At 38.7% G+C, this 8044-nt stretch overlaps 1 annotated feature.

Moving 5' to 3' along the window:
- Window positions 5956-6455: an enhancer, noted in NCBI's record as "H3K4me1 hESC enhancer chr11:39463923-39464422 (GRCh37/hg19 assembly coordinates)". NCBI's record gives its function as "activates a minimal SCP1, AML or CMV promoter by ChIP-STARR-seq in naive H9 embryonic stem cells {active_cell/tissue: H9 hESC(naive)}" and the evidence as "EXISTENCE:reporter gene assay evidence [ECO:0000049][PMID:30033119]".

The following is an 8044-nucleotide window of genomic DNA, read 5'->3' as shown; positions in this document are numbered from 1 at the left end:
CAAAACTTGGATGAGCTTCCATAGTTGGCAATACCCCTTGCATATTATCATATGCCATTTCCAGGAGGAATTAATGCTGCTCTTGTCTCCATGGGGAAAGGACAACTGAAAGATCCTGTTTAGCATTCTCTTATACTGGGCCCAATACATTTCTTTCTCATGATTGATTTTAATTTGCATACTTTCAGTTTTTGAATTGTATTTTTTTCCAAGCATAAATGTTAATATAACAGCTTCTAGAATGTTATTGAAACTGAGGGTGGGTTTTGGGAACCTCTAAACTTGTAATTGCTGTTAAAAGTGAGGCTGGTCTTGTGAACTGTTCTCTAATTTTCAGTTAGCTACTTGTGCAGTTGGCATCCAAAGTGTGACTCAATAGAAAATTCCTGAGTCACTGAAACATGTGGTTTGGGAAAAGGTAGAATGATAAATCTTTGAGTTGTTTCTTGCCGTATTTTGCTTCATTCAGCAATAAATTGGCTAATTTTAATTGTATTATTTAGCGGTAATAAATGATCAACTGTGAGTATGACAATTTGTAGTGAATCTGTGAATCTTATGAACGAATGTTCAAACCTAAGGTTGGTTTGGGAACCCTTTAACCTTGCAGTATGTACCAGAAGTGATGGGTGATGGTACTATTGTGGACCATTCACCCTCTGAACTTCACAGGGTATCTGTAATTTCTGTATCCTCTTGTCACTTATTAGTTCCAATGATACATTGTTAACCCTTAGAATGTCTGTATGCTTATCCCAAATCTTTGTAAAAATGTACTTCTGTTAAAATATCATCAAATTGTCCTAAGCTGTGGATGCATTTCTTTTCTGCTGACACCCTAACAACTGTATATTTCAGTCTTTCTTTTTAAATTCAATACATATAATTAAGAATTAATTTTTGTGTGTTATGTGTAACAGTTATGTTATTCATATTTTTTAAAAGTTAAGTGACATTGTCTACATACACACTCATACCTGTAGGTATGTGTGCATCCCTCAAAATCTGTTCAGGTGAATACTCCCAACATGCTTCTATACTTTGTCAGTGATTTATTACTTTATAAATTGTAACTGTATTTATATTTTTCAAATGTATATAATGTAAGACTCTCCTTATGAATACTGATTGGAAAATATCTCACAAATTCATGGGGATTTATCTTGATAAGTTTAACAAATTTATATGTAATAATTTAAAAAAGATATAAAAGGCCGGGCGCGGTGGCTCATACCTGTAATCCCAGCACTTTGGGAGGCTGAGGCAGGTGGAACTCTTGAGGTCAGGAGTTCAAGACCAGCCTGGCCAATGTGGCAAAACCCCGTCTCTACTAAAAATACAAAAATTAGCCGGGCGTGGGAGTGCATGCCTGTAGTCCCAGTTACTTGGGAGGCTGAGACAGGAGAATTGCTTGAACCCAGGAAGCAGAGGTTGCAGTTAGCTGAGATTATACCACTGCACTGCAGCCTGGGTGACAGAGCAAGACTCCATCTCAAATAAATAAATAAATGAATATGTATAAAATAAAAACATTTTAATATATCTATTAAAAAATGGAATTTTGAGGCAATTGACAGGTTATACTATTTGAACATTCTACCAGAACAAGTATAAATCACAATTTTCCCCAAATTTACCTAAAATTTTCAATGCTTAGCATAAATCTTCATAGAAGTCTTAAATGTTTGCAATTAAATTAATGTGTACACATTTATGCTTTAACTGTTTTTGTGGCTATTCCTTCAAAATATCCAGAATATAAAAAGTAATTTTTGCATATTTTAGTGAAATATCTTATTAAACTTCCACATTGTAACGCTTTAAGATAAATATATCTCCTTCTTTTAAACAGAACTATTTTCCCCATTTAAATTTTGCTGATACATCTGTCAGGCCATGGTTAAATAATGGTGGTGTTGGCTGGCATTCTTGTCTTATCCTGGTTTTAAAAGAAATGCCTCATGTTTTGATATTATCATGTTTATGACTGATTTAAAACAGTTGTAACATAGTGTTTAAAAATTACCTGAAAGCTTTTACAAAGTATTGTGGGGTTCTCTGAAGATTATTCTTAGTATTTACTGAGATAATCCTCTAAATTTTCTCTTTTGATATATTTACATGATATAGTATATTCAGAAATGAAGATAACATGGTCCAGGTGCGGTGGCTCAGGCCTGTAATCCCAGCACTTAGGGAGGCTGAGGCGGGCAGATCATTAGAGGTCAGTAGTTCAAAACCAGCCTGGCCAACATGGCGAAACCCTGTCTCTACTAAAAAATACAAATTAGCTGGGTGTGTGGCATGTGCCTATAATCCCAGCTACTCAGGAGGATGAGGCAGGAGAATCACTTGAACCTGGGAGTTGGAGGTTGCAGTGAGCCGAGATTGTGCCACTGCACTCCAGCCTAGACAACACAGTGAGACTCTGTCTCAAAAAAAAAAAAAAGAAAAAAGAAAAAATAACATGAATGAAAACTCAGTATATTTTGAGTGCTTAATATGAGCTAGACATTGCATAAGCATCAATTCACTAATATTAAATCTTTCTGGCATTTCTGGAGCAATGTTAATTGTGTTCAGTTTCAATATCTGGGTGTGTTTAATACTTATTCTATTTATGATTATTTTTATTTTGACCCTGAGTAGGAAGTTAGATATTTAATATTTTTTCAAAAGTAATTCAAAAGTAGAAAAATATTTTATTAAGTATTGACTTTAAAAATGGTTTTTACATGTTCACTAGAGTCTTAATAGTCTGTGTCTTTTCCACTGACTGTTTTCATCTATAACATACTTATTTGTATTTCAGACTCAACCCTAATTATATTTAACTGAGGAAATGTGTTAGACATGAACATCCAATGTAGCAAAGATGCCTAGAAGGTGTCAGTATGGAGACTAGGGGGCCTTTTGGAGACAAATTTCTAAGGAAATTGAGCTTAACCAGTTCAATTCAACTATCTGCCTCTAGGTTGGCCCTATACACCAACCCTAATGGCCTAAAGTCTTTTACGTATAAAAATGTTACCAATGGAGGCTGTCCAGGTTCTTGGCGCTTTAAACAAAGAATTGAACAAAACACACAAACAAGGCAAGGAAAGAATGAAGTGAAAAAAACAGACTTATTGAAAATGAAAGCACACTGCACAGGGTGGGAGCCAGCCTGAGCAAGTGGCTCAACAACCTTGTTACAGAATTTTCTGGGATTTAAATACCTTCTAGAAGGTTCCATTGGTTAATTGGCATATGCTCTATGTAAGTGAAGAGGCTAAAATGAAGTTACGAAGTGATTTACTTGGTGTACATCCTATGTAAATAAAGAAGATAAAGTAAAGTTACAAAGCCATTTACTTGGTGTACGCTCTATGTAAATAAAGACGATATTTCCTGTCATAGCTGAAGTGTTTCCCTTTTAGTTCTAGGAAGTCCTTAGGTTCCCTGCCTCAAATGGTTAATAAAATCCTACATAAAACCCTGGAATTAAAAAAAAAATTCATTTCATGAATTTTCCTGTTTTCAATGTATGACCACCACTGTTTTATCACAACAGTGTCTGTGGCATCAGAGATGCTGTTAATGGTGGTGGGAGCACATCAAGAAAAAAATAGGGTGGAAGTGCTGGCATCTGTGTCAGCACTAATGCCAGCAGTGGCAGTGCACCCCCAGTGTCCTCATGTGCCTCCAGGGCAGAGGTCACTGCACTTAACCTCAGACACTGTTCCACGGGGGAAGCCAGTGCCTTTATTGGACATTGGTAGTAACTAAATCCTACATTATCTTGGCAGGCAATAAAGGACTCATGAACATGAGTAACCTGAGAAAATAAGGAAGAACTGGCAACAACCCAAATAATGAGTTTTCATCGAACTCTGAGGGAGCCTTTAAATATTGACTCCTTAAAATATTTGAGAGAGTAGGGAGAGATGTAGCTGCATGGATGCTCTTGAGTGGCTCGAATGCTACACTTATTTTCCCTAGGATTCAGTGTTCTGAGAAAAGAAGGTTGCAGATTGAAACTTCTGCACCTTGGCTTGGGGCCCTACCCTCTCAACAAAAGACCCAAGAGGGATATATTTAATGAAAAGAACTCTGGATTGTACAAATATAAATATTTAAAATTACTTTTAAGATATTGACCAAATAGTATTCATAGGTGCATGTACGTAACTGCATACACACATATGCACACACAGAGGCTAGAATTTCTAAGTATTTACAGTATTTAGAATTGAAGAGAAATGATGAAACAAAATATCCTGTTAAGGTCTACTATAAAGCTCAAGTTCTTCTTTTTATCATGATATTTGGAAGTAAGTATTCATAGTAAGGAAACAATTTAAATAAGATTGAATGTAATAAATAAAGGTTTCCCTTAGGCATTTTTGCACAAGCCAAATTGTAGAGAAGGGACACAAATAACACAGACAAGTTTAGGTTGTGTTTCTGAATTTTAAAAAGTAGAAAATCTCAGTGCCTCATTCATGATACTGCTACTGAAACACCAGGCGTTCGGTCTAGGTCTTGTTGCTTGCCAACACAGAAAACCAATGACAGAAAATGAGTATTGTCAAGGAAGAAGGCTTTAAGCAGGTGCTGCAGCTGAGAAGATGGGAGCTCAGTCTCAAATCCATTTCGTGACCCACTAAAACCAGGGGTTTATATAGCAGGACAAAAATGTAACAATGTTAAAAAAATAAGTACTAGGGAGGAGCAAGGAAGCAATCATGATGAATGACGGGTTCTGACCTCTTATAGGTGCTCTGATATGGTGAGTTTCAGTTCTTTGAGACTTTTTTTTTTTGAGAAGACTGAAGGTTGTTTCCTGAGGAAGAAACTCAGAAAAAAAATACAATCTTCAACCTTTATGACCAGAAGGATCAATGTATATGTTTATCACAATCAATGGGACTATTGAATCAGTTTCAATATGATGAAGATGAACCTCTAGAATTATCTGATTCAATGATTTAAAAATATCTAACAATCAGTTAAAATATGATGAGAACAGCAATTTCTCAATAAAATAGATAGCTGGATAGATCAATTGGTAGATAGGTGGGTGGGTGCTTACATGTGAAAGAAGGAAGGAAGCAAGGGGGAAGGGAAGGGAAGGGAAGAAAAGGAAGGGAAGAGAAGGGAAGGGGAGGGGAGGGGAGGGCAAGGCTTTCCTATCTAGTGCTCAAGTATTAAAAGAACCATTTTGTTTCATTTCAATTCAATTTTGTTTGATATGAGTTGAGTCTATTCAACTTGACATGATTTATTCAACAAATATTTTTGTGAAGTCATGAAAGAGTAGAAAGTCTTGGCTTTCATGTGTTCAATTTAAATACCACTAAGATCAGATCATAAGAATCTGAAATACTAGAAATGATAAACAGCCAAGTAGCAATGGAATGAATCTTTCTACATGCAGAAGCTTCTAACACTTGTACAAAGGCTAGAGATGTACAGTCAGGAGGCTTAGGATATCTAATTCTGCTAATGATGGGATAGAAAGGATCTTAGCTTTGGTGTCATATTGTGTATGTTATCAGTATTTGCAGGAACTTGGGCAAATTAACTGACTTTTTAAACCTCAACTTTCTAATCTGATTAATGAGGATAATAATCTCAGGATTTTTGTGACAGTCAATTCAGGTAATGTGAGGAAAACCCTTAGACAAAGGCATTATGGAATATAATAAACACTCTACAAAGTGTAGCAGATAAAACAAACAAAAACAAGGAGTTATTAGAGGTACCCTGTCTTTTATCCTTTCTCACTATAAATTTCATTTTATAAAATTTAGAGATTAAACTAGGGTTCTTAGAATACTAACTGAAGTTCCTTCTCACTGTTAAAATACTATTTATTTTATTTTTGTCAACATGCTATTGTGGTATCTATCTACCTATCTTCTATCTATATGTGTGTGTGTGTATATACATATATACACACACATATATATAGATACTATATATATAGATACTATATATATAGATACTATATATATAGATACTATATATAGATACTATATATAGATACTATATATATAGATACTATATATATATATAGATAGATACTATATATATCTCTGTGTGTCTGTCTTTCAAGTGAGCAAAGGGGGGTGGGAAAGAGAGCCTGGCTTTTGGAAAGACATCTGTACAAAAATGCTGAGCAAATATTATTTGCTTTATTGATTCACACATACTACTGAGAGGTGACAGCGTGCTGGCAGCCCTCGCAGCCCTTGCTCGCTCTCAGCACCTCCTTGACCTTGGTGCCCACTCTGCCCATGCTCGAGGAGCCCTTCAGCCCGCCACTGAGCTGTGGGGGCCCCTCTCTGGGCTGGCCGAGGCCGGGGCCATCTCCCTCTGCTTGCGGGGAGGTGTGGAGGGAGAGGCGTGGGCAGGAACTGGGACTGCGCGTGGTGCTTGCGGGCCAGGGGGAGTTCTGGGTGGGCGTGGCCTTGGCAGGCCCTGCACTTGGAGCGGCTGGCTGGCACCGCTGGCCCTGGGCAGTGAGGGGCTTAGCACCCGGACCAGAAGCTGCGGAGGGTGCGCCAGGTCCCCCAGCAGTGCCGGCCCACTGGCGCTGCACTCAAATTCTTGCGAGGCCTCAGCTGCCTCCCCAGCCTGCCATGCCTGAACCTCCCCTGGACGCCGTGGGCTCCTGTGCCGCCCAAGCCTCCCCAAGGAGTGCTGCCCCCTGCTCCGTGGTACCCGGTCCCATCGACCACCCAAGGGCTGAAAAGTGTGGGCACACGGTGTGGGACTGGCAGGCAGCTCCACCTGTGGTCCCAGTGCAGGATCCACTAGCTGAAGCCAGCTGGGCTCCTGAGTCTTGTGGGGACTTGGAGAACCTTTATGTCTAGCTAAGGGATTGTAAATACACCAATCAGCACTCTGTGTCTAGCTCAAGGTTTGTAAATGCACCAATCAGTGCTCTGTGTGTAGCTAATCTAGTGGGGACTTGGATAACTTTTGTGTCTAGCTAAGGGATTGTAAATACACCAATCAGCACTCTGTGTTTAGCCCAAGGTTTCTAAATGCACCAATCAGCACCCTGTGTCTAGCTCAAGGTTTGTAAATGCACCAATCAGTGCTCCATGTCTAGCTAATCTAGTGGGGACTTGGAGAACTTTTGTGTCTAGCTCAGGGATTGTAAACGCACCAATCAGCACCCTGTCAAAACAGACCAATCAGCTCTCTGTAAAATGGACAGATCAGCAGGATGTGGGTAGGGCCAGATAAGGGAATAAAAGCAGGCTGCCTGAACCAGCAGTGGCAACCCGCTGGGGTCCCCTTCCACACTGTGGAAGCTTTGTTCTTTTGCTCTTTGCAATAAATCTTGCTGCTGCTCACTCTTTGGTTCCGCACTGCCTTTATGAGCTGTAACACTCACGGGAAGGTCTGCAGCTTCACTCCTGAGGCCAGCGAGACCACGAACCCACCAGAAGGAAGAAACTCTGAACACATCCAAACATCAGAGGGAACAAACTCCGGACACGCCACCTTTAAGAACTGTAACACTCACCACGAGGGTCCACGGCTTCATTCTTGAAGTCAGTGAGACCAAGAACCCACCAATTCCGGACACACTATTCTTTTTAATTGTGATAGGGCTTATTTTCACTCTGTTGTTGCAAGTTAAAATTTATAAATGAAAGTTGGACCAGAATAAACAATGTATTAATGACGTCTGTGGCATGAGGATTCTATTGTTTTGCTTTGGTTTACAAATAAACCAAGATGATATATCATACAATCTTTGAATTTCAAAGCATTTGAACAACCTTTTAAATCCAACTATCTCATTATTTTCTATTTAAAATGTCTTTGCAAATATTCCTTGCCCCCATGATGGCCAGGTATTAAGTAGTGATGAATGTACTAAATGGTGGCATGCTTAAGTAGATTACAGAAGAAAGAACAGCATTGTCTATAAGCTAAATAGAGGAAGAAAATGTTCAAAATAAGGCTTTATTGCTAGAATGAGGATTGCTAAAATCCAAGGTACAGGAAATGTATAGTTTTGTCATTTTTTAAAAAAGAGTGA

This window comes from Homo sapiens, chromosome 11, assembly GCF_000001405.40.
Source record: "Homo sapiens chromosome 11, GRCh38.p14 Primary Assembly".
Taxonomy (NCBI): Eukaryota; Metazoa; Chordata; class Mammalia; order Primates; family Hominidae; genus Homo; species Homo sapiens.
Note: the sequence above shows the minus strand (reverse complement) of the source record. Positions and strands in the feature narration are given on the sequence as shown.